We start from the raw sequence: 24,381 nt of genomic DNA, 5'->3' as shown, positions 1-24,381 counted from the left end.
AAGTTATTTTTCTATGTATTTCTATTAGAGTTCAAGAAAAAATAACATTTTTCTCCTGAAAGCTACAGTGATGTCAATAAAATGAGCACTGATGTCATAATGTTTTAACACATTGTCATGCAGTGTTTTCATATTTATAACTGGGATATAAAATGCTCAGTAAGTGGCTAGTGTAAAAATATTAGGCACTAATCAATTACATGTAAGAACCAAATTGATCCCATCACATTGGAGGGATTTAATTTGAAGAAAATCAGCTTTCTGACTTGGTTAAAACAAAGTCTACAATGTAATGAGACAAAATGGAAGTAGTTTAAGTAATAAATGTTTAATCAAAGAATTTTACATATTATTAACAGCATTCATTTGGCCAAACATCTACACGTTTGTAGAATCCTACTGTATATAAAGTGGGAATGTATCAAGTATAGACTATGAAAGTGCAAATAACAAGTCAAGGTTAGATTAACTTTTTTTTTTTACATTATAAAATTAACTTGTTTACAAAATAGGCTTTGCCAAACTTCATTACTGAATTGTAAAGTCAATGACTGTGTTGTTTTTAAAATATGTACCAAGGAAATACAAATTGGATAATGATCATTTTTCATGCTCAGGAGAGAACAGCACAGAAATAAAGGATACTGCACAAGGTGCAAGGAAACCGGAACCCATTGTGTACACTGTCTTCACACAGAGCATTCTTTCTCACCTTAACTGCAGCTGTGCAAGATGCCTCAGTGTGATGCAAAGACTCTATATTGGAAAAATTACAACTTGGTCTAAAAACTTATTGGTGTTGATATTTTTAATCCAAAATAAATTTATAAAAAAATCCTTTAATGGACTATTTCAGTTTAATATACAGTAATACACTGTAGATAAAGTTAATATTCCCCCCACTAATTTAATAGGGATTGATATCAATGTTTCTGATCACTGGAGAAATAAAAACTAATGTGGACCTTTGATATCCATGGCATAGGAGGATTCCCACAGTTTATCCTAAGAGGATCTGGGGAATATTAAATATTCTAATACAGTGTCTTAGCAATATGAATTTTAAGTACAAGGATATTTCAAAAGCAGGGTTTGGAAAAAAAAAAAGTAATCAAAACCCATAATCACATCTCTTGTGGATAACAATATTAATATAACTTTTTACCCAGCCCAGGACTTGCCTGTACAAACTCAGAACTGAAAGTTTGGTATCTGTAGACTTCTGGTAACAATCTGGCAAAACACTAAATGGAGTGTTGTACTTATCTATTTTGCTTATGTTATGCTAGTTTTGATAATATTTAAGTAAAACAGCCATTCCAACAGTTTACTCTAGTTTTAATTACACACTGTACCATTGTATCCTAATTACAACTAAGACCAGTATTTTCTTCACAGTAAGACACTGATAACTAGGAAGTTGATTTTTTTCAACACTAAACAGTAATCACACAGCAAATGAGTATTGCGCAGTAGAACAAACACATGTCAGCATTTGCTAGTTAGGCAAACAAACTGATTGAACATTTAGTTGTTATAGTTAGTGTAAAAGCAAGGCCATGGGTGGTTTTATGGAGGTCTTTGCAATTCATAGCATAGTTACTTCAGAAGAGACATTGAAATTTGAATTACTCACTTATTTAACTGGCAACTATCCATTTAGGTTAGGCAAAGGCACGGTAACATGTTGCGCAGGATGTTTTACTGAATTTCTTAATAATCGTGGGATTTACTATAACTCATGAAAACTCCACTTTTTTTCTATTTTATAAAACACGATTAAAAGTAATTGCACCCATCAGTAATTAGAATGCACTGTAAAATTGTGAAAACAAATAACTATGATTGCACTTCCAATAAAGTGTCTCTTAAAATACAGCACCGCTGTTGCTAATCAACTGTATTTTAATATTAAAATAAACTGTTTTTAACAGCAGCATTAGGTTTAGTTAACTTAAGCTACAGGCTACATTTATATAAATGCAGTCTCCATGGCAACAAAAACCCATTTAATTCTGGAATATCATTGCTACCAAGTGGCACCTTTTACTCCCGAGAACGCTGACACTGCCCTGGAGCACTCTAGGATGCTGCACACCTAAATGCCTTGTTAGTCAGCACACAAGTAAGAGTTTGGCACAATTGGACTGTAAATAGACATGAAAGGAAACCTTTGATTCATGTGAAAATTAAAACTAATTACACTATGGTAGATGTGGTACTAAAGAGACTTCAATTCACATTGCTCAGACAAAAAGGAAGTAAGTTATGGAAGAGCACAAAGAGATTGAGGACATATATGTTATCGGATTTATCCAAAATAAATTTCTAGAATGAAGAAAACTTTTTTTTTTTTTTTAAAGGAAAGCCACCCAAAGATTAGGGAGTAAGCCTTTAGTTTAAATGTTCAATTTAAGTATTGTCAAGCCTAGGCTAAATAGAGGACTGCATTTTCTTAGAGTGTGGAATACAACTTATTTATTTCATTTTTGTTTCTCTTTCTCTTGCTCTTCTTTTTGTCAGCAAAAAGGGGAAAAGCTATTCAATTAAGTACAAAGGAAATTCCCTGTAAGGTTAAAATAAAAAATGAAGCTACCATTCAAGGGAACTTCTCTGTATTCAACCCTAATGTCAGTGGTTTATCACTGAGTTGGAATTAAGTGAATCAAAGTCTCTATCAAGCATACTCCACCTAGCATACCATCTGTACCTGTAATTCATTTAGAGCCCAGATGTGTGCAGTTCACACTAAATGTACTTGTTCAAGCCAGTCACTTGAGGTTTGAGGTGTTTGACTTGAAACATCTGAACCATCTCCTCTGTTGGCTGCCTCGTTACCACTGTCACCAGCTTGAGATGCTGCTTCCCCCGCCAGAATATTTTCTTCCAAAGGATTTTCTTCTATCTGGGTTCCTCTACCTTCACTGACACTGGCATCTTCAAACATTGAATCTTCTGGCAGCACCAGTTCCACATCCTTCACACCTTCTGACCCATCTTTGATACAGGGGAGCTGGGAATCTGCACTGATTTCTGTAGTTGCTGGAGGAATCAGGGCAATACTCTGAGGGTTCATGTCATGAAACCAAGCCATGATGTTGCCGAGAAGATTGTCATTGATGTTGGGGTCCTGGCCAGCTGAGTCAGGATCACTAGATGAGGGACAGAAATCACTTCTTGCCTCACTGAGAGGGTGTGAGCTCAGGGTGTCAGTTGAAAATGGGTCATTCTCTGCTCCTAGTCTCATGAGGCTGTCACCAAGTTCCAAAAGCTCAGAGCTGCTCAATGCAGCCCGAGGGCTATCTGTATTTCTGGGGACAGAGTCCAGCCTGGAAGGTAAAGAAGTGCCTATCGCACCTAAGGATGCTTCATTACTGAGGAAGTCTCTAGTTTCTTCATCGAGGGCCAGCCCAGACTCTTGCAGTGATAACTGTATTGCAAGAAGTATATTGGGATCGTCTTCATCCAAGGAACTCAGAGCCTGAAGCAACAGAAAGCAAAACCACTTTAAAATTTGACTGAAAAAAACTGATTTAACTCAATCAGGTTTACCATTCTTCCTTTACCAACAGATTATTAATTTTATTTATACAGAAAAATTATTTTATCTACTAAAATCTTGTATTTTTCTCCATGCCCATGCTAAAGGAAAAAAAAAACATACCTTAAAATAAATCTAAAATATAGGAATATCTTTTCCTGCAGCACATCTTTAAAACAAAGATTTTAGAATGGAAGGAAGAAATAGGAAAGCGATGAAAGTAACAACAGGAAACCACACTCAGCAGAGAAAGAGTAAAAGCACAGGCAATGAGGCTGTTCAGAAAGGCTACCTGAAGAGAGTCCTGGTTTTCAGAGCGACTGGCAGGGGTGTAGTCACGCAGGGAAGAGCTGTGCAGCACACTCATAGATGCAGAACTTACCACGGATGTGCCAGGCCTGCGGCTGCTGCTGCCGCCTTCTGGAATATCTGTTTCAAAGCAATTGGTACCAAAGACAATTTAGTGACAAATAAGACTTATTTATTTTTTTCATACATCTGGTTGTTTAGATGGGCAATTTCTCTTTCAGTGCTGGGGAAAACCTGTGTTGACATGTTCACTTAATCTTTCTGGGATTTCTCATCCATATTTGTCTTACCATGAAGAATAATATATATATGATACTATCACTTCAAATCCGTAACTTTTTACTTTTTTTTTTTTTTGAGATGGAGTCTTGCTTTGTCGACCTAGCTGGAGTGCAGTGGCGCAATCTTGGCTCACTGCAACCTCTGCCTCCTGGGTTCAAGCGATTCTCCTGCCTCAGCCTCTCGAGTGGTTGGGACTACAGATGTGCACCACCATGCCTGGCTAATTTTTGCATTTTCAGTAGAGATAGGGTTTCACCATGTTGGTCAGGATGGTCTCCATCTCCTGACATTGTGATCCGCACACCTTGGCCTCCCAAAGTGCTGGGATGACAGGCATGAGCCACCGTGCCTGGCTGACTTTTTTACACTTTTGCTTGCAGTCTATATAGTTCTATTCATAAATGCAAGTGCTACTATCCATTTCTCTTTTTTTGTTAAGCAATAACTAATAAACGTTTTTCATTTTTAGATTTCTTAAAATTAAATAATTTGGGAATTACAATAGTCTGAAGAGCAAATCTTTAGTCCCATTGATCCTGACATTATAGTCAGAAGATTTTCACTTAATAATTTAACATTTAAAAGTTGAATAATTAAAATAATTTATCTCTAATGCCAGAAATTCTCTCTCTTTTAAATAATGTCTACAGGACAACTAAGGCTAGGAGACAAATATTCCATGAACACAAAACAGTATCAATCAATACTACAATTAACTGAGTGCTTCACTAGGTGCTTAAGTGTTTTAGATGCATTATCTAATTTAATACTCACAATGAGCCTATAAGGTGGCACTATTATTATTGTGTCTTTAGAATATGGAAACAACCTTAGAGAGGTTGTGACCTGACTAGGTTACACAGCTAATATGCAGCAGAGATGGGGTCATGAATCCAAGTTTGCCTAACTCCACAGACCATGCTCCTAACTCCTCTGATTTTCTGTGTCCTGTCACAACAGAAACATCTGCATATTTATTGTATATCTAAATGACAAACTCGTTCACAAAAATTTACATCAGCCAGTTTGAAGGATAAATTCAGGGGAGCTATGAGATTAAACCATACTCAATGCAAGGACTTACCTAAAGTGCTTTCACTTGGCTCATCAGGGTCTGGAGGATTACTGAGTAGACTGTGAACATCTCCTCGACGACGTTGTCTGTGCCTCCTCCGATACTGAAATTCAGCATATTCCTGCATAAACCAAAGGTTATAAAATACAAGAGAGCATGCAATTTTTAAAATGCAAATAAAACAAAGTACACACTTTTTTCCAGGGGAAAAAGTTTGTGATTTTATACACATCTTATAAAATCACTTGGCTGAAACATCAGGTTTTGCCATGCCAAGGAAACACAAAAGGTAAAATGGAAAAAGAAAGTTTTCAACAGTCATTACAATTGCCTAGATAAATTAGGAATACTTGCAAGCCCCAGTGCTACATTAGAACAGCCCTATTTTATATGCCTGATGATTTCAAGGATCTTGTTATCTAATTAATACTACAACCATATTACTCATTTAAGTAAGGCTTTCCTTGAAGGGAGGTTTTTTATTTTTTATTTTTTTATTTTTAGAGTCAGAGTCTTGCTATGTTGCTTAGGCTGGTCTTGAACTTCTGGCCTCAAGCAATCCCTACTGCTCGGCCTCCTAAGTAGCTGGGATTACAGGTGTGAGCCATTGAAACTGGATATGAAAGTGGCTTTAAAAACGTGACCAGGGGTGGGTGCTGTGGCTCACGCCTGTAATCCCAGTACTTTGGGAGGCCGAAGCAGGCAGATCACCTGAGGTCAGGAATTTGAGACCAGCCTGGCCAACATGGTGAAACCCCATCTCTACTAAAAATACAAAAAATTAGCCGGGCGTGGTGGTGGCACCTGTAATCCCAGCTACTCGAGAGGCTGAGGCAGGAGAATCACTTGAACCCAGGAGGTGGAGGTTGCAGTGATCCGAGATTGTGCCACTGCAGCCTGGGCAACAACAGCAAGACTCCATCTCAAAAAAAAAAAAAAAAAAAAAAGTGACTGGGATATATGTAACAGAAAAAGAAAAAAAGGAACAACAGTAAAAAATAACACACACTGTTAAGTACTTGCCAGATTGTTGGATTTTCTATTCTTTGGGACTACTACATATCATATTCACAAATCAAATGACTAGATTAAAAGACAAATGTTAGGTTAGCTTTAAAATAAGATGATTATTTAGCTTCTTTTCTATATAAGCCAATATGTGGTGCTATTTACAACACAAGCAGGGGAAATGTTTTCTATTTAGCATATGGGATGAACACAGACTTAGGCAGATGTCCTCAGCCTATTCCACATTTGTGACAATGTTTAAAGTTAGTTTGTTATCACCAGAGGGTACAACCTGGGACCATCGCTATTACCTGGGTATAAATGTGACAGAAGAGAAGAGAATAAAAGAGAAGGGAAGAGAAGAGAGGAGGCCAGGGTACATGATACCAACATAAAAAGGCTAATTTAGAGAATCATTATGGTGTCTTTCCATGATAAACACTAAGATATTCAACTTTATGATTATCCTGGTTACCCTAGAATATTCAATATGCTTATATTGTGAAAGTACTAGAAGTAGGTGAAGACAAATTTTGGATCACAAATAAAACTTTCACATCATACCACTCTGGTGACATTTATTTAAACTCCTTTATTTATATAAGCAGTTGGACTCTTAAGAAGTGGGAGGCATCCTGTTAGGTTAGAAACTAATAAATGAAAGATACTCCAAGTGCCCTGAGGGTTTATACTGGTTCTTTAAAATGCCTTGCTGAGGTGGGACATCATTTCCTCTTCTCCTAGAGGCCCATGACCTCAAACTGATGACTTAAGTGTCGTCAAGGCTCAACAGACCAGTGAGGAACACCAACTAGATTTCTTAGACAAAGATGGTGTGAAAATTTTATCTCAATTCAAGTTTTATATTAGGGATAATTTGCTTACTTTGTAAACTTGATAATGGTACAAAGTTATGAATTAAACTATTACTGACCATAGACTATACATATTTCCAATTTAAGAAAATGAAACCGTTTAAAAGCAACTGCAAAAGAAACTTGTATATCTAATCGTCTGACAGAAAACTCTCAGATGGCATTCTCTCATGATGCAACAGGCTTAAATATATTGTTCTCATAAAATTTATTTGAAAATTTCCAAGGATTCCTAAGATCTTCAAGAATGTATATGAAAAGGGTTTAGTCAGTATACTCCAAATGGTTTGAGAATGTTAAGGATACAGAAAAGACTAAAAAGTTCTAGGATTTACAGAGGGAAAAGCTATAAGGAGCTGTTTTAAGTAATAATTCCAACAATTTTGTCAGTGGCTAAATGAGATGCTTTAATCCTTCTAGAACTTCCATGGGGTATCACCATCCACATTGTAAAGATGAGAAATTAAGAAAGAACATAGCCTAGGATCTAGTAAGTTACACTTAGAACTTGAATTCAGGTGTTCCTCAGACTTTATGCTATTTCCACTGAGCTGCACTGCCTTTAAAGTAGCATAAAACAAACCTTTATGCTTGCCAGACTCAATTTACATTAAAAAGAGTAAGATGAAATTAACTTCACTGAAAAAAATATAAGTTCAATCTAAGTCTACTGGAGTTGGTAACCTTGTTTTTTCCCTCACTATTAAGGCAAAGAGCTATTTTTCAAAAATATAACTTTGGCAGTTACTCGATAGTCATACACATGCAGAATTTGAAAGTCTCACAATGTGCAGTAATTCTTTATATCTGCAATAAGGTTTACGTAAAAGCCTAGTGTTTCAATGTGTCAAAGACTAAAGAAAACTAAAAGTAAGTAATTTCTAAAAAATTATCAATTCATAAAAAACAAAGTGACACTCATATTAGTAGGCCCTCAATATTCAAGGACAAATATTTCAGGATTCCTAAAGTTTCTGTCAGAGCCAGAAGCTGCAAGATGATACACATACATGCTTGTGAATACACTGACAAAGGTTTTATTTATTTTTGCTAAACTGTGTTTCTACCTTAAAACACGGAAATCATTAGTATTTTTTTTTCTTTTATAATTTCAGTTTGCTTATTCTTCCTTTTAGGTGGAAGTTTACCACAATATCCCCGAAGTTGTAAATGTATTATAACATTGAAATAATAAATACAGGATCAGATAAAGGTTCATAATTAGTTTTAAAATAAAAATTTCATTAATATATCACAATTTTTAAAACAATTTAAGTGAATTTAAAATGTCCAGATCAGGGCTCTAAGCACAATTTTTTTCAAGTCAATATTTTCTTGGATGTATCTACCAATACAAAAGCCACAGGTGATTGCAAGTATCTTCAGCAGCTGAAAAGAGAAAGTATCTGATTTAAATAAGCCACAGTCATGCCTGGATAATAATCAATTTCATTGTCTTTCAGTTGCAGGTAACAAATGGGTTATACATTACAAACAAAGATTTCCTCATTTGTTCTGTACCCTTCCAAAAATTAAGTTGAAGGGTTATCATATTATAGGCATCAAATACTGTTTAATAAAGAGCAAGGATGGAAAGAGAGAAGTAGAGAGAACTGCTGAAACCATTTTAAAATCAGACTCAACAGTGACAGTGGCAATTTAAATCTCAGAAAACAGCTATGTGATTAAGAGTTTCACTCTGTCTTATTTTTATTTGCCACAACTGCTATCTGTAGTGTTAGTAATTTAGACCTTCTGTATTTCAAAACGGTATATTAATAATGACAACAAAAAAACAAGAAGAGTGTGAAAGTCTTAAAGATAAGCAGAAAGCAACTAAGCAAAGCATTTCTTTCTGCATATACATTATTAAAGTCAAGTTTTCCACCTTAGCAACTGATTATAAATCAGTTCCCTCAGGTTGTTGCATTAACCTTAAAAAATGGATTGTTCTTTTATATTTTTAATAGTTTCAGATTAAAACAATATTATGACTAGAAATGCATTTCTAATAAATTCTCTCTATTAACAAATTAGAAGATATTTTCCAAAAATGTATATTGTAAATTTGCCTTAATTCTGACTATTCAGTAATTAAAAACAATAAAAGAGTAATGCATTTAACAATGTGACGATATAGCAATACCACATAAATAGCTAAATGTAGGCTCTGTCAAGGCATTTTTGTTACAAAAGAAAGAGACAGCACTGCTGATAATCTCAGAAGGATTTAGAATAGATAAGGATGCAAATGCAAGCACGACTGCACTAAGAAAAAATACAAAAACAAAAACCCCATAAAACAATTACCTCTGGTGATGCAAATCCTAAATATTCCCAATCCCATGTTCCACCAGCAAAGCTACAAAGAAATTAGACATACCATTTGATTTAATATCAATACTACAAAGTATATACAATCAGATCCTTGCCCTTTGAACATTACTTTGAATTCCTCTGTTGGAACTTGCTTAACTAAAGTAGATCAACTATTAAAACAGAATTAAAATGATAATTTTCCTTTCTTCCAAATTCTAAGTTTTTATGTTTGTGTAAAATGATCAAAAAATAAAAATTACCATGTTATAACAAAGTATTTTATAATGCTTCTATTTGTATTTTACAAGTAAATATTTACTCATAAATATTATGTAAAAATAGGATCAAAGGAATTTATGTAAAATAGTGCCAAAGGAATGTTTAATGCTTATAGTTATTATAAATAGGAAAGTATGCTTCAATTTACAGAAGTAGTATGAGTATGTAAAATAAAACAACTACAACTCAACTGATCTTTAGTGGATGGGTTTATCACTTAAATAACTACAAATATCAAATTTCTCTTTCCTTCACAACTTCTTAATACAAAAATACAAATATGACCATAACAAGCTGGCAAAGTTTCCAAATTCTACATCGTAAGATGTTTATAACTATCAAATCACTATATATATTACATATTTGAAATGATACATTAGAATACTCTTATTTATGAGTTCACCTGAAATGTGAAATTAACCTAGGTTAATTTAGTCTAAGGAGCTACACAATGATAAATAAACAAAAAATAACAAGAAAAACAGAAATAGCATGGAGGAAAAAAAAAATCACCAAAAAAAGTCAACATACTTTTATGAGCTATCCATATTTTAGGTGTAAATAATTTCCAGGAATATGAACCCTAGTTGGATAAAAAACAAAACTGCTGGTATTTGTGGCTGGAGCTAGGATGATTTCCACAGTGTACGTCCTTTTTACCTGCGCCTTGGAGCTTCTGGTGAGTCTGCAGGAGCTACTCCCCGAGCCACAGATGCCAGGAATTCTTGCCTCTTCTGCTGTACAAGGCATGCTGCTTTGATGATCTTGTGGCGGGGTGTGCGAAGGTAAGGCCTATTGACTTTCTGGGCAAGGTCTTCAGTGACCATTTCTAGGTCTGTCTATAGTAAGCAGAGAAAAAAAAAAAATCACAGGCTTCATAGGTTAATCAATAGCAAATCCAGGGTCTATGTGGTTTCTCAGTTAAATCTAACTCTTTTGAAGTAAGAAACTAGTTAAAATTTTGAAATAACTTCCTATGTAATATATTTTCTATTTTGTACATGTTTTCTAGATTATGAAAGAGAAAGGACTGTATATAAAATCATGTGAATTTTTAAAAAAGCGCTCATTTGATAGGCATTTATAGAAATGAAATTGGTATAGATTACAAAGAAGTAGTGAGTATAGCAGCTGTTTACAAGGAATTTATAATTTGTCTATGTGAAAAAAACTAATACATTTCAATGCACCATACAAGCAAATGCATGATGCCATAGTGCAGACTATATAAAAGTGCTGAAGGAATTTGAATTAAGGCAAGACGACAGTGATTGGGGTCAAGTGTGGAAGGCTTTACGGAGAAAATGAATACTGATCCTTGACAGAAATGTAGGATATAAATTAGCAGAGGACAGTTCAAGGGATGACATGAAAACTGTAACAGGAGAAAGTTTAGTGGCTTCAAAAGAAAAGAAATGCACAATGAAGTTATTTGGCTATAGTGATGCCAATTGGCTTAGGTGTTTTTGTTTTTTAAATACTGTAACTTTTTCAGTTGTATTTCAAAAATAAACTGGTAAACAGCAACTTTCTCATCTTATAGGTAATGTGGGTTGTTTTCATCTTTCATGATAAAATCCTTAATTATATAATCAGAAATATGCCTGATTTCAAACTTCAACCAGTTTAAAACAAAGACATAAATGCTACAGGAAATGTTTGCACCACTCATAACTCATTCAGACCTGCAGAGTGACAAATTTAAACAAAAAGAAAATTTCAATTTGTTACTGGTAACTTTTCCTTTATTTAAAAACCATTTAAAAAATGAAAAGAAAATTGTTTTAGTAATCATGTCCACATTAAATAAAACAAGTGGTTTCAAAAATGAAAAATTCTGTATTTCATAATAACTGCTGCCATTTAAATGTAATTAAAAAAATCTTACTTGCATTAGTTCAAAAATTTCTTTCTTTGTGCTTTTAGGTTCCAAGAAAAATCCATATGGATAAGAACACTTGAGAATGCGCCGAGTTTTTAAGAGCACATGAACTGCATCTTCAATGAAAGTGGTATCTGGACAGCCTCCTTCAGCTAAAAAGTAATTGAGGCACAGTGAATTTGTTTTTGCAAATATGCCATTTATAATATTAATTAAACAATGATTTTTTTTCTCAAAAAAGGAAAAAGAAGGATCATTAGGACAAAAACTGTTTTAAGTAACTGTATGAAAATACTTATTTGAACCAAACTAAAAACCTACATAAAATACTCATGTGTGACATGTATGTGTTTATAAAAGAAGCATATGCCCCAGCAGCCCAGGAACACTGATGGTAGTCATAAAGGAATGCACATACTCATCTTGGATTCTGGTCTCACTCCATTGGTAAGCAAATCTAGCTTTAGGTCAACCAAAAGGTTCTAGGCTTTACTTTTTCAGATTATCCCTAGCAGAATTTCCCTGGTTAAGAATGAGAACAAATGCCTTTTCTAAGTTGCTTATAAAAAGAGCCTAATTATGCAAAACCAATACCGTAAGGAAAAAGATACAACATTCTGGCAAACAACTAGATAACTAATCCTAGTTAATAAAAAATCCAAAGAAAGAAGGGGAGGAAGAATGAGGAAGATGGAAGACTAAATTGCCTTAATATCTGAGACTCTTTGTTTTAAGAACATCATTATAACAGTCTAGGTTTTCACTTAACTGCCAAAAAAAAAACAAAACCAGAAAAAAACCAGAAATTAAGCATGAGAATCTAACTTTGCAAATACTGCAGAAACTCAGATTATTTTGGATACCTGTAGAAAGAAATTCAGTATGTGTACACAAACTGACAGACGACCCTGAGATTTCTGACTTATGTGAGAAATGTGTGAAGTTTTGCTTCTTCCTTTGCAATTGCTGTATCTTTTTGTTTTTTTCCCCTAATTTATTATGCTGCCTGGAACCTCCAGAATGTTGAATAGAAGCAATAATTCACATCTACAAATATTGAATGTTGTTAAGGGTCAGGCACAGCTGGAAGCACTAGGGATGTATTAGTGACCAGACAAAAATCCCTGCTGAAGAGCTGTACGACTTGTGAGGACTTTTTTCCTCTCAATTTATACTGTGGACAATACTTCAAGAGTTTGATATTGCCTAATATAGTTATATCATTAATGAAGTCTAAGAACTAATAATTAACAAGCAGGCTATACTGCTATTGACATATTCTCCCCCACTCCATTTAACTTATGGTATTGTCTTGACTAGGGAATTATCCTAATGAAAAGGATTTTAATATTCATTATTTTGATAAACTGGAGCAACCCAAGTATAACATCACATTTTTCACCTTAAAATGTACTTTTCATATGTGAGCTATTATTTTTAAAAGGTGACTTTTTAAAACAAACATACCAGAACCTGCACTCTGTGTGGTCGTTGTGGGTTATTATATTCTAATGATGTTGTCAATACTCAATCCATATTTTGGAATATTCTAACTTATAATTTAGGACCTATACGTTAGCTCCACCTCATGGCTTCGCTTTTTGACCCCAATGTTCATTATTTACCAGTGAAATGATTTCTTCCCAAACTGTTATTGACTTCCACGCCCTTAGGCACTCTGTTAAATTTTCTCAATAATTTTTGGGTATTCAGTTACATGACAATTGGGTAGCACGTGTATCTTGCTCCTCTGACTAAGTCAGTGATGTCCTTTAGTACCCATCCACTTTTCCCAACATTGTAGAGCATCAGCAGTGACACAGAGTAAGCAAAATCATGAAGTGTTTTTATCTCATAACACCACAGGCTGCATCAAGAGGAGGAGGCTAGGTGCTGGGTAGAAAATCCAATCACAGAGGCCTCATCTGCTAAGCTGCACTCAGGGCTTCAAAGAACTCAAAACAGTACCAGAACAAGCTAATGAACATAATGTATTCCTTTCAGGGCCTAACCTACTAGTGAAATGACAAGCATGGAAAGATATTTTATATTAATTATCACACATACAACTTATAACTTACTTTCTTTGAGAGCTCTGCTCAATTGCTCCATCTTTTCTTTGGCTGTTTTAAGAAGGCGTTGTTCTAGCTAAAGGAATAGAAATAAAGAATTTAAACCATTCTCTTTATTTATTCACAACAGTATAGGTCAGCTCATTTGAAATGATTTGGGACATACCTGATAACTATGCTCATGGTTTTTAAATCTTGTATAATAGTGCATAAATCTGTCAAGTTCCTGAAATCGTTTGTGTTTTTTCTCAGCCTAGAAAACAAAAGTCCACAAATGACTTTTATAAAAACTAGTAGCTACTAAAATAGTTTTTTGGGGGAATCATTTAAAAGTTTTATTAGTGATAGGTAGTAGTGCATTCAGATTTGCGAATTATTTTCTTGACAGAAAAACAATACTTGTTTTTTTTTTTTTGAGACGGAGTCTCGCTGTGTCTCCCAGGCTGGAGTGCAGTGGTGCAATCTGAGCTCACACAAACCTCCGCCTCCCAGGTTCAACTGATTTTCCTGTCTCAGCCTCCTGAGTAGCTGGGATTACAGGAGCCCACCACCATGCCTGGGTAATTTTTGTATTTTTAGTAGAGATGGGGTTTTACCATGTTGGCCAGGCTGGTCTTGAACTCCTGACCTCAAGTGATCTGCCTGCCTCGGCCTCCCAAAAGTGCTGGGATTAAAAGCATGAGCCACATTGAAGGCCAAGGCCTTCAATGTTTTATTACATGGCTTTTTGCTATGGACTAATGGTATTCCCCCTAAAATTAATATTTTGAAGCCCTACCCTCTATGTGACTGTATTTGAAGACAGGACCTGTGAGAAGGTGATAAAGGTTAAATAAGGTCATCAGGGTGGGGCCCTATTCTGATAGGGTTGGTACTCTTAAAAGAAGAGGAAGGGGCACCAGAGGTCTCTCTGTCTTTTCTGGCCACCTAAGGACATAGTGAGAGGGTGGCTGTCTGCAAACCAAGAGAACCCTCATCAAGAACCAAATTGGCCAGCACCTTGACTTTGGACTTCACAACCTCTACAACTGTGAAAAATAAATTTCTGGTAAGCCACCCAGTCTATGTATTTTCTATGGCAGCTGAGCAGACTAAGACACTTCCTGTACAGTATAATGTAATACTGCATTGTTGATATTAATGTTAAAATTGTTTTTAAGTATTTACAGAGGTAGGCTGGGATATATCAGACTTTTCATACAGATCTCCACCAAAATTAAAAAAAGGAAAATGTAAAAGGGAAAAAGCTCTCAAGTTTACAGAGCTGTTTTGTTGAAATTAAAGGCTATAATAAAGTATATTCAATTTAATACTTTATTAAGATGAAAATAGAAAAAGAAATACAAAATAATTCCAGTGGCAGTGAGCGGTTTAGAGAGATGTCTTGGCTTAATTGGTTCTCTTTACCTCCACAGTCATTTCCTTGGATTGCTCCTCCACGTGTTGAATGACTTCATAGCGAGTACATCTGTAATAACCTCCAGTGGACGAACTATGTTTTTTCCACTCTTCAAGGCAAATCCAGCAAAAGTCATACTTGCACTTCAAAAGAAAACACAGATGAAAACATCTCCCCATATTAATATGCAAATTATTTTCTGCTTTATAGCCAACCAATCTGTAAAGATTAAATAATTGTGCTTGTGTGACCAGTAATAAATCTTCTCAAAGACATGCCCTATTTCTCATGTGTCCTCTGGAGACCTTATCTGCATTATGGAAAGATGTGGGGGTAGTTTAAAATTATTGTTTATAGGGATATATTAAAATGTAAAGCATAATATTATGAAGTAATCACAAGGAACCATTCTTTCCAAATAATATCTTTGGAAAGTGTTTCATTTTTAAGTGCATTCTAATCTGACATTTGTATATAAAGCTCCACCAGTCTATCTGAAAAACTTCTGGCAATATTGACAAATTGGTTTTGAAACTAGAACTACGCTTAAAAGACCTCTAAGTGGAACAGCTGATATAAAAACGGTTTCCCATTTTAATGTAAATTCCAACTTAATTACCATAATTATCAGACAGTGCCAAAAATATGAGCATTCAGTATGAAAATACATCCTTTCTTATGCTTAGGATTTTGAGTCAGTTAAAAAGATCTTCCCATTCTATGTTGTCTTCAGGTACTCTTAATGGTTTATTTATTTTTTATTTTATTTTTATTATACATTAAGTTCTAGGGTACATGTGCACAAGGTGCAGGCTTGTCACATATGTATACATGTCCCGTGTTGGTTTGCTGCACCCACTAACTTGTCATTTACATTAGGTATTTCTCCTAATGCTATCCTTCCCCCATCCTCCCACACCACGACAGGCCCCAGTATGTGATGTTCCCTGCCCTGTGTCCAAGTGTTCTCATTGTTCAATTCCCACCTATGAGTGAAAACATGTGGTGTTCGTTTTTCTGTCCTTGTGATAGTTTGCTCAGAATAATGGTTTCCAGCTTCATCCATGTGGCTACAAAGGACATGAACTCATCTTTTTTTATGGCTACATAGTATTCCATGGTGTATATGTACCACATTTTCTTAATCCAGTCTATCATTGATGGACATTTGGGTTGGTTCCAAGTTTTTGCTATTGTGAATAGTGCTGCAATAAACATATATGTGCATGTGTCTTTACAGTAGCATGATTTATAATCCTTTGGGTATATACCCAGTAATGGGATCGCTGGATCAAATGGTATTTCTAGTTCTAGATACTTGAGAAATCGCCACACTGTCTTCCATAATGGTTGAACTAGTTTACACTCCCACTAACAGTGTAAAAGCGTTCCTATTTTTCCACATCCTCTCCAGCAACCTGTTGTTTCCTGACTTTTTAATGATCGCCATTCTAACTGGTGTGAGATGGTATCTCATTGTGGTTTTGATTTGCATTTCTCTGATGGCCAGTGATGATGAGCATTTTTTCATGCCTGTTGGCTGCATAAATGTCTCCTTTTGAAAAGTGTCTGTTCATATCCTTTGCCCACTTTTTGATGGGGTTGTTTTTTTCTTGTAAATTGGTTTAAGTTCTTTGTAGGTTCTAGATACTAGCCCCTTGTCAGATGGGTAATTGCAAAAATTTTCTCCCATGCTGAGGTTTGCCTGTTCACTCTGATGGTAGTTTCTTTTGCTATGCAGAAACTCTTTAGTTTAATCAGATCCCATGTTTCTATTTTGGCTTTTGTTGCCATTGCTTTTGGTGTTTTAGTCATGAAGTCCTTGTCCATGCCTATGTCCTGAATGGTATTGCCTAGCTTTTCTTCTACGGTTTTTATGGTTTTAGGTCTAATAGTTAAGTCTTTAATGCATCGTGAATTAATTTTTGTATAAGGTGTAAGGAAGGGATCCAGTTTCAGCTTTCTACATATGGGTAGCCAGTTTTCCCAGCACCATTTATTAAACAGGGAATCCTTTCCCCATTTCTTGTTTTTGTCAGGTTTGTCAAAGATCAGATGGCTGTGGATGCATGGTGTTATTTCTGAGGCCTCTGTTCTGTTCCATTGGTCTATATCTCTGTTTTGGTACCAGTACCATGCTGTTTTGGTTACTGTAGCCTTGTACTATAGTTTGAAGTCAGGTAGTGTGATGCCTCAAGCTTTGTTCTTTTTGCTTAGGATTGTCTTGGCAATGTGGGATCTTTTTTGGTTCCCTATGAACTTTAAAGTAGTTTTTTCCAATTCTGTAAAGAAAGTCATTGGTAGCTTGATGGGGATGGCACTGAATTTATAAATTACCTTGGGCAGTATGGACATTTTTACAATATTGATTCTTCCTATCCATGAGCATGGAATGTTCTTCCATTTGTCTGTGTCCTCTTTTATTTCATTGAACAGTGGTTTGTAGCTCTCCTTGAAGAGGTCCTTCACATCCCTTGTAAATTGGATTCCTAGGTATTTTATTCTCTTTGTAGCAATTGTGAATGGGAGTTCACTCATGATTTGGCTGTTTGTCTGTTATTGGTGTTTAAGAATGCTTGTGAGTTTTGCACATTGATTTTGTATCTTGAGACTTTGCTGAAGTTGCCTATCAGCTTAAGCAGATTTTGGGCTGAGATGATGGGGTTTTCTAAATATACAATCATGTCATCTGCAAACAGGGACAATCTGACTTCCTCTTTTCCTAATTGAATACTCTATTTCTTTCTCTTGCCTGATTGCCCTGGCCAGAACTTCCAACACTATGTTGAATAGGAGTGGTGAGAGAGGGCATCCCTGTCTTGTGCCAGTTTTCAAAGGGAATGCTTCCAGTTTTTGCCCGTTCAGTATCATACTGGCTGTGGGTTTGTCATAAATAGCTCTTATTATTTTGAGATCTGTTCCATCAATACCTAGACTATTGAGAGCTTTTAGCACAAAGGGCTGTTGAATTTTGTCAAAGGACTTTTCTGCATCTATTGAGATGATCATGTGGTTTTTGTCTTTGGTTCTGTTTATGTGATGGATTACGTTTATTGATTTGTGTATGTTGAACCAGTCTTGCATCCCAGGGATGAAGCCAACTTGATCTTGGTGGATAAGCTTTTTGATGTGCTGCTGGATTTGGTTTGCCAGTATTTATTGAGGATTTTTGCATCAATGTTCATCAGGGATATCAGTCTAAAATTCTCTTTTTTTGTTGTGCCTCTGCCAGGCTTTGGTATGAGGATGCTGCTGGCCTCATAAAATGAGTTAGGGAGGATTCCCTCTTTTTCTATTGATTGGAATAGTTTCAGAAGGAATGGTGCCATCTCCTCTTGGCAGCTCTGGTACAATTTGGCTGTGAATCCATCTGGTCCTGGACTCTTTTTGGTTGGTAGGCTATTAATTATTGCCTCAATTTCAGAGCCTATTATTGGTCTATTCAGAGATTCAACTTCTTCCTGGTTTAGTCTTGGGAGGGTGTATGTGTCCAGGAATTTATCCATTTCTTCTAGATTTTCTAGTTTATTTGAGTAGAGGTGTTTATGTTATTCTCTGATGGTAGTTTGTATTTCTGTGGGATTAGTGGTGATATCCCCTTTATCATTTTTTATTGCATCTATTGGATTCTTCTCTCTTTTCTTCTTTATTAGTCTTGCTAGCGGTCTATCAATTTTGTTGATCTTTTCAAAAAACCAGCTCCTGGACTCATTGATTTTTTTAAAGGGGTTTTTATGTCTCCATCTCCTTCAGTTCTGCTCTGACCTTAGTTATTTCTTGCCTTCTGCTAGCTTTTGAATGTGTTTGCTCTTGCTTCTCTAGTTCTTTTAATTGTGATGTTAGGGTGTCAATTTTAGATCTTTCCTGCTTTCTCTTGTGGGCATTTAGTGCTATAAATTTCCCTCTGCACACTGCTTTAAATGTGTCCCAGAGATTCTGGTATGTTGTGTCTTTGTTCTCATTGGTTTCAAAGAACATCTTTATTTCTGCCTTCATTTCATTATGTACCCAGTAGTCATTCAGGAGCAGGTTGTTCAGTTTCCATGTAGTTGTGCGGTTTTGAGTGGGTTTCTTAATCCTGAGTTCTAATTTGATTGCACTGTGGTCTGAGAGACAGTTTGTTGTGATTTCTGTTCTTTTACATTAGCTGAGGAGTGCTTTACTTCCAACTACGTGGTCAATTTTGGAACAAGTGCGATGTGGTGCTGAGAAGAATGTATATTCTGTTGATTTGGGGTAGAGAGTTCTGTAGATGTCTATTAGGTCTGCCTAGTGCAGAGCTGAGTTCAAGTCCTGGATATCCTTGTTGACCTTCTGTCTCGTTTATCTGTCTAATATTGACAGTGGGGTGTTAAAGTCTCCCATTATTATTGTGTGGGAGGCTAAGTCTCTTTTTAGGTCTCTCAGGACTTTTTTTATGAATCTGGGTGCTCCTGTATTGGGTGCATATATATTTAGGATAGTTAGCTCTTCTTGTTGAATTGATCCCTTTACCATTATGTAATGGCCTTGTCTCTTTTGATCTTTGTTGGTTTAGTCTGTTTTATCAGAGCCTAGGATTGCAACCCCTGCTTTTTTTTTTTGCTTTCCATTTGCTTGGTAGATCTTTCTCCATCCCTTTATTTTGAGCCTATGTATGTCTCTGCACATGAGATGGGTCTCCTGAATACAGCACATTGATAAGTCTTGACTCTTTATCCAATTTGCCAGTCTGTGTCTTTTAATTGGAGCATTGAGCCCATTTACATTTAAGGTTAATATTGTTATGTGTGAATTTGATCTTGTCATTATGATGTTAGCTGGTTATTTTGCCCGTTAGTTGATGCAGTTTCTTCCTAGCATCGATGGTCTTTACAATTTGGCATGTTTTGGCAGTGGCTGGTACCAGTTGTTCCTTTCCATGTTTAGTACTTCCTTTAGGAGCTCTTATAAGGCAGGTCTGGTGGTGACAAAATCTGTCAGCATTTGCTTGTCTGTAAAGGATTTCATTTCTCCTTCACTTATGAAGCTTAGTTTGGCTGGATATGAAATTCTGGGTTGAAAATTCTTTTCTTTAAGAATGTTGAATATTAGCCCCCACTCTCTTCTGGCTTGTAGGGTTTCTGCCAAGAGATCCGCTGTTAGTCTGATGGGCTTTCCTTTGTGGGTAACCTGACCTTTCTCTCTGGCTGCCCTTAGCATTTTTTCCTCCATTTCAACATTGGTGAATCTGACAATTATGTGCCTTGGGGTTGCTCTTCTTGAGGAGTATCTTTGTGGTGTTCTCTGTGTTTCCTGAACTTGAATGTTAGCTTGACTTGCTAGGTTGGGGAAGGTCTCCTGGATAATATCCTGAAGAGTGTTTTCCAGCTTGGTTCCATTCTCCCCGTCACTTTCAGGTACACCAATTGTACGTATATTTGGTGTTTTCACACAGTCTCTTATTTCTTGGAGGCTTCGTTCATTTCTTTTTACTCTTTTTTCTCCCAACTTCCCTACTTGCGTCATTTCATTAATTTGATCTTCAATCACTGATACCTTTTCTTCCACTTGAAGCTTATGCATGCGTCACATAGTTCTCGTGCCATGGTTTTCAGCTCCATCAAGTCATTTAAGGTCTTCTCTACACTGTTTATTCTAGTTAGCCATTCATCTAATCTTTTTTCAAGGTTTTTACCTTCCTTGTGATGGGTTCGAACTTCCTCCTTCAGCTGGGAGAAGTTTGTTATTACCAACTTTCTGAAGCCTACTTCTGTCAACTGTCAAAGTCATTCTCCATCCTGCTTTGTTCCGTTGCTGGCGAGGAGCTGCAATCCTCTGGAGGAGATGGGGCGCTCTGGTTTTTAGAATTTTCAGCTTTTTTGCTCTGGCTTCTCCCCATCTTTGTGGTGTTATCTACCTTTGGTCTTTGATGATGGTGACCTACAGATGGGGTTTTGGTGTGGATGTCCTTTTTTGTTGATGTTGATACTATTCCTTTCTGCTTGTTAGTTTTCCTTCTAACAGGACCCTCAGCTGCAGGTCTGTTGGAGTTTGCTTGAGGTCCACTCCAGACCCTATTTGCCTGGGTGTCACCAGCGGAGGCTGCAGAACAGCAAATATTGCAGAACAGCAAATATTGCTGCCTGGTCCTTCCTCTGGAATCTTCGTCTCAGAGGGGCACCTGGCTGTATGAGGTGTCAGTCGGCCCCTAATGGGAGGTGTCTCCAAGTTAGGCTACATGGGGGTCAGGCACCCACTTGAGGAGGTGGTCTGTCCGTTCTCAGAGCTCAAACACCATGCTGGGAGAACCACTGCTCTCTTCAGAGCTGTCGGACAGGGACATCAAAGTCTGCAGAAGTTTCTGTGGCCTTTTGTTCAGCTATGCCCTGCCCCCAGAGGTGGAGTCTACAGAAGCAGGGGGGCCTTGTTGAGCTGTGGTGGGCTCCACCCAGTTTGAGCTTCCCAGCCGTTTTGTTTACCTACTCAGCAATGGCAGATGCCCCTCCCCCAGCATGGCTTGCCGCCTCGCAGTTAGATCTCGGAATAGCAGTGAGCAAGGCTCTGTGGGTGTGGGACCTGCTGAGCCAGGTGTGGGATATAATCTCCTGGTGTTGCCATTTGCTAAGACTGTTGGAAAAGAGCAGTGTTTATGTGGCAGTGTCCCGATTTTCCCGGTACAGCCTGTCATGGCTTCTCTTGGCTAGGAAAGGGAAATCCCCCAACCCTTTATGCTTCCAAGGTGAGGTGATGCCCTGCCCTGCTTCGGCTTGCCCTTCGTGTGCTGCACCCACTTCCCGACCAGTCCCAATGAGATGAACCAGGTACCTCAGCTGGAAATGCAGAAATCACCTGTCTTCTGTGTCGATCATTGGAGCTACAGACTGGGGCTGTTCCTATTTGGCCATCTTGGAAAAGACCTCCTGGTTTATTTTATTTTTTAAAGAAACTTTAAATCTTTGAGTCATTTGGCATTTATCTGACTATATAGGATACAGTATGAATTCAACTTTATTCTTTCTCACACAACTGCCCAGTAGTCCTTATACCATTTAAATAACTCATGTTTCTCCACTGGTTGTAGATGCCACATTTACCATATACTAGATTCCCACGTATCTTTGTCTATATTGTAGGCTTTCTTTTTATCCTGTTTCATGTGCCAGCACTACACTGTTTGAATTACTGAGGTTTCATAATATGGCTATTTGACAAGGCTAGTTCCCCTTCACTGCTCCTTTTCAGACTTCCTATTCTTGCTTCCCCTTAATCCCGCCGTATAACTTCTGAATTAGTTTTTTTTAGATGGAGTCTCGCTCTGTCACCTAGGCTGGAGTGCAGTGGCAGTAACTCGGCTCACTGCAAGCTCTGCCTCCCAGGTTCACACCATTCTCCTGCCTCAGCCTCCCGAGTAGCTAGGACTACAGACACCCGCCACCATGCCCAGCTAAATTTTTTTGTATTTTTAGTAGAGATGGGGTTTCACCCTGTTAGCCAGGATGGTCTCGATCTCCTGACCTTGTGATCTGCCTGTCTCGGCCTCCCAAAGTGCTGGAATTACTGGCGTGAGCCACCGCGCCCAGCCTAAATTAGTTTACTTAGATTCCGAAACAAAACCTGTTGCTATTTCTGATGGAATCTTTCTAAGAACTTCATTGTCTTTCAATTAGTTTGTCATCTTTTGTGACCTACAGTGGGTTTACATTTTTTCCCCATAAGTCTTGCATATTTCTTGTTAAATTTGTTTCCAGATAAATGAGGCCTTTCAGTATTGTTGTTGATACACATGAAGGTTGTTGACTGTTGTTGATACACACGAAGGTTATTACTCTGCATAGTAATTGTGTACTCTGCTACTTAACTGAATTTTTGTTTGTAGCAGTTTTTCAGTCGATTTTTGTGAATTTTCTAGGTATACAATCACGTCATCTGCAAAAAGTGATAATTTTATCTCATTTCTGATTTTTATATCACTAATCTCTTTCTGTTGTCTAATTATGTTGACTGGTATCTTCAATCTAATGTTAATAATACTAGTGATGAAAAATATCTTCATCTTGTTCTTGAATTTAGTGGGAGTGACTCTAGTTTCCTCATTAAATATGCTAGCTTTTGAAATGAGGTCAATTTATTTTTATCATACTAAGAAAGAATCCATTCTATTTCTTTGACTGTTTTATAAAGAATGATTGTTGATTTTTTTTTTTTTTTTTGTCAAATAGCTTTTCAGCAGCTATAGAAAATATGTAATTTTTCCCCTTGGATATACCAATAACACGAGGTACAACATCAACTTTCCTAATACTGAACCATTCTTATATAGGTGGAAGCATCCCTAATCTAAAAATCAGAAATCCTAAATACTCCAAAATCCAAAACTTTTTCAGCACTGACATGGATTGTGAATTTGTGGATTAGGGGTGCTCAATTGGTATACTGCAAATATTCCAAATGAAAAAAAAATCTGAAATCCTTAACACTTCCAGTTCCAAGCATTCCAGATCAGCAATCCTTAAAATTAACCTGTCTTCCTGGAATAAACTCTACTTGGTTAATTACTCATGAATGTGCTCTGCTGGATTATGTTTGCTAATATCTGTAGAGTTTTATCCCTGTAATATTTAGGACTACTGCACTTTTACAAGTAAGAATAATCCACACTTTTAAGTTTTATAATCTTGTGAAGCAGATATCAAGGTTCTACTCACTTTATAAAAATACTTTGAAAGTTTTAAGTTTTTTTTTTTTTAACTCTCAAGAACAGTTTAAATAAAATTAGAATTACCGGCCCCTTAAAGGTTTGGTAAAATTCTATCGTGAAACTATCAGGGCCCATTGCTTTAAGTGTTAATGTAAGGTGTGGGAGATTTTTGAAAAACTTTTTTCCCCTTCTATGGGAATGGGTTTTTTTGGGGATACTCTATCTCTTCTAGGATCAGTTTTAATAAATAATACTTTCTTAGAAAGCCAATCCACTTCAAATCCAAGTTCAAAATATCTGGAAGAGTTGAATGAAGTTATAGTCCTTATTATTTTAGTTTGCTTTGTTTTTTTGATTACAGGCATACCTTGTTTCATTGCACTTTGCTGTATTGTGCATTGCAGATTTGCATTTTGTTTTTGTTTTTTAAACAAACTGAAGTTTGTGGCAACCCTCCATGAAGAAGGTCTACTGGTCATTTTTCCAACAGCATGTGCTCACTGCTCGTCTGTGTCACATTTTGGTAATTCTCATAATGTTTCAAACTTTTAAATTATTATTTTATCTGTTGTGATCTACGATCAATGATATTTGATGTTACTATTGTAATATCTGGGGGACACCATGAACCATGCCCATATAAGATGGCAAACTTAATATATATATGTTGTATGTGTTCTG

General features: G+C 36.5%; 1 protein-coding gene across 1 annotated transcript in view; it reads right to left on the bottom strand.

The window, feature by feature from the left end:
• Positions 1–309: 309 nt before the first annotated feature.
• Positions 310–24,381, bottom strand: part of ANKIB1 (ankyrin repeat and IBR domain containing 1) — a 155,410-nt gene continuing 131,338 nt past the window's right edge. The window contains exons 12-20 of the mRNA NM_019004.2: positions 15,050–15,184; positions 13,809–13,895; positions 13,652–13,718; positions 11,577–11,722; positions 10,349–10,527; positions 9,401–9,452; positions 5,217–5,328; positions 3,834–3,970; positions 310–3,481 (exon numbers count right to left, since the gene is read on the bottom strand). Of these exons, the coding sequence (NP_061877.1) occupies positions 2,744–3,481; positions 3,834–3,970; positions 5,217–5,328; positions 9,401–9,452; positions 10,349–10,527; positions 11,577–11,722; positions 13,652–13,718; positions 13,809–13,895; positions 15,050–15,184 (1,653 nt within the window). The 3' untranslated portion in view covers positions 310–2,743. The remainder of the gene's footprint in view (positions 3,482–3,833; positions 3,971–5,216; positions 5,329–9,400; positions 9,453–10,348; positions 10,528–11,576; positions 11,723–13,651; positions 13,719–13,808; positions 13,896–15,049; positions 15,185–24,381) is intronic.

This window comes from Homo sapiens, chromosome 7, assembly GCF_000001405.40.
Source record: "Homo sapiens chromosome 7, GRCh38.p14 Primary Assembly".
NCBI lineage: Eukaryota > Metazoa > Chordata > Mammalia > Primates > Hominidae > Homo > Homo sapiens.
Note: the sequence above shows the minus strand (reverse complement) of the source record. Positions and strands in the feature narration are given on the sequence as shown.